We start from the raw sequence: 2,471 nt of genomic DNA on the forward strand, positions 1-2,471 counted from the left end.
GGAGTTTTTCCCACTCTCTGATTGAAGAGAGAGAATGCAAAAATGAACTCCTTTCCCCTTGATATTTGTTAAGCATAATTAATCTTATGGCTGACTTCACAATTCACTGATTTTGGACCCTGAACAAGTGACACTGACCAACTGGGAGTCTAGAGTAGCAGAAATTGTTTCTCTGAATTGACTCTCCTTTCATTAGATAACATTGAGCCTTTTATGGTCTTTGGGGGCAGTACATATTGGTTCCTAGTTTCTGGAGATCCTTTTCTAAAAAAATTGGAGATATTCACTTTGGAGCTGCAATTAAGTTGTTTTAAAACTAGGATTCTAATAATTTTCTGTGTTGTGTTAACTCTTTGGACTTTCTTAGTAGAGGAGCCCATGGGGAAAAGAATTTAATTTCTGATGTCTTGTACTATATATATATATATATATATATATATATATATATATATATATATATATATTTCTGAATTTAAAGCCAGGTGTCTTAACATAGAGGCTTTAATTTCTTCCTGAGAGCTTCATAAGGGAGTATATTTATATTCCCATTTGGTAATTTTTATGTTGTTGATGCTATTATTGGAGAATAATTATGCCTCTATTTGACTTCATCGTGTAACCTCTGGTGAATTATGATGGAGAGTGAGGCTGGGCACAAATTAGAATGAGAAACAGAATAGGGAGTAAAAATAGAACTTCGTATGAGGGTAGAAGTAGAACTTTGGAATAAGTTTACTTAACGTATGATTCTTTGGACACAGTGGAGCATTGGTTGGTATTTGCAGAGAAGCCTTCATAAACAGGGTTGTTCTGAAGCTCATCTCTGTCCCTGGGGATGAACTGAACCCATCATTAGCCATTTGCTTAGCTGTTAAACCAAATATGTGAAGAGAATGGAAACCAGAGGAATATGTGTACATGTGTGGGAATCTTATTTACTACTCCTCATATTTCCACAAGTAGAAAATAATATATATTCAATCTCCAAGAAGGAAAATGGGCTAAAATCCTTCTAGACTTCTCTCTACTGACTTTACTCCTAGATAAAATTCAAATGATGACTTTTGGGATTGATACATTGGGGAAAAGGTACTGAGCATGAATGGTTTTGATCTTTCTGGGTTTCCCTTTCTTTGGAGTCAACTTGACTGAAGCACACACTAGAGGGAAGCTTACCAGGGCAGATTCTGTCTCTGCAGCAGAGCAGTCAGCAGTCTTGGACGGGGTTAAATTCAGATCAAAGTGAAATGTATTAGGAGACCCATTTGGCCACTGATCCAAGCCATATTCTTCAGTTTAATGTTATCACTAATACAGTTGAATTTTTATGTTCATTTCCCTGACTTCCTATTCTGTATTTTTACTCTGGGAGGCTATAGGCACAAGAGTGATTATCACTCCTAAAACCCCAGGAGATTTAGAGAAGTACCAACTAATGAAGGAGGCACAGTGAGTGCAGGAGCAGTCAGTGAGCTGGGAGAGCCCGTCACGGGGCACCATGTATTCAAACTTAAGAGGAAGATTTGGGTCATCAAAAGCGGAATAAAAACGATGACTTGTGACTATGACCACTTTTTATTTTTTTATTTATTTTTATTTTTTGAGACGGAGTCTCACTTTGTTGCCCAGACTGGAGTGCAGTGGCGCGATCTTGGCTGACTGCAAGCTCCGCCTCCCAGGTTCACACCATTCTCCTGCCTCAGCCTCCCGGGTAGCTGGGACTACAGGTGCCCGCCACCACGCCCGGCTAATTTTTTTGTATTTTCAGTAGAGACGGGGTTTCACCATGTTAGCCAGGATGGTCTCGATCTCCTGACCTCATGATCTGCCTGCCTCGGCCTCCGAAAGTGCTGGGATTACAGGCATGAGCCACCACACCCGGTCAACTATGACCACTTTTTTTTCTGAAGCAATGGTTAAGATTTCACATGTCTACAAGGTGAAATGAAAAGTAACAAAGGGCTGGACTTATGTGTTTTTTGTGTGAGCAGAGGTGATGACTGGCGGGCAGATGTCTCCTCCAGAGTAGAAGTTCTTGTGTGTGTTAGCAGCCTGTAGCTATGGGGGAATTGTTGGGTCTTCTTATTTTAAAGAAAATGCCGATATAAGTATTTTTATAAGAAATTCCCTAAGTTTTAAATGTTGGCTTAAATTTATAGGAAAAAATTCTTGGCCAATTAAAACAGGTCTATAGACTTGAAGTGGTTTCGGGACTGTTGTAATAGAAATGATATTTCTTTCAGCATGTTGGGGACCTGCTCCCTAATGCACTTAGATTTGAGTTTCTTTCTTACGAGTTTATTTTATTCCAATTGGCTAAGGCAGTTCAGTTTCCTGTCTGTTTGCTGTATTTAAACTTCTGCTCTACCTTTTTTATTACCACTGATTTAAGAATTTATCATATACTGCCCTAGACCAAATGTAAAGTTTATGAGTCCAGTGTTCATGGGACTTGACTGGATCCAAGAAAG

The sequence above is a fragment of the Homo sapiens genome, chromosome 5 (genome assembly GCF_000001405.40).
Source record: "Homo sapiens chromosome 5, GRCh38.p14 Primary Assembly".
NCBI lineage: Eukaryota > Metazoa > Chordata > Mammalia > Primates > Hominidae > Homo > Homo sapiens.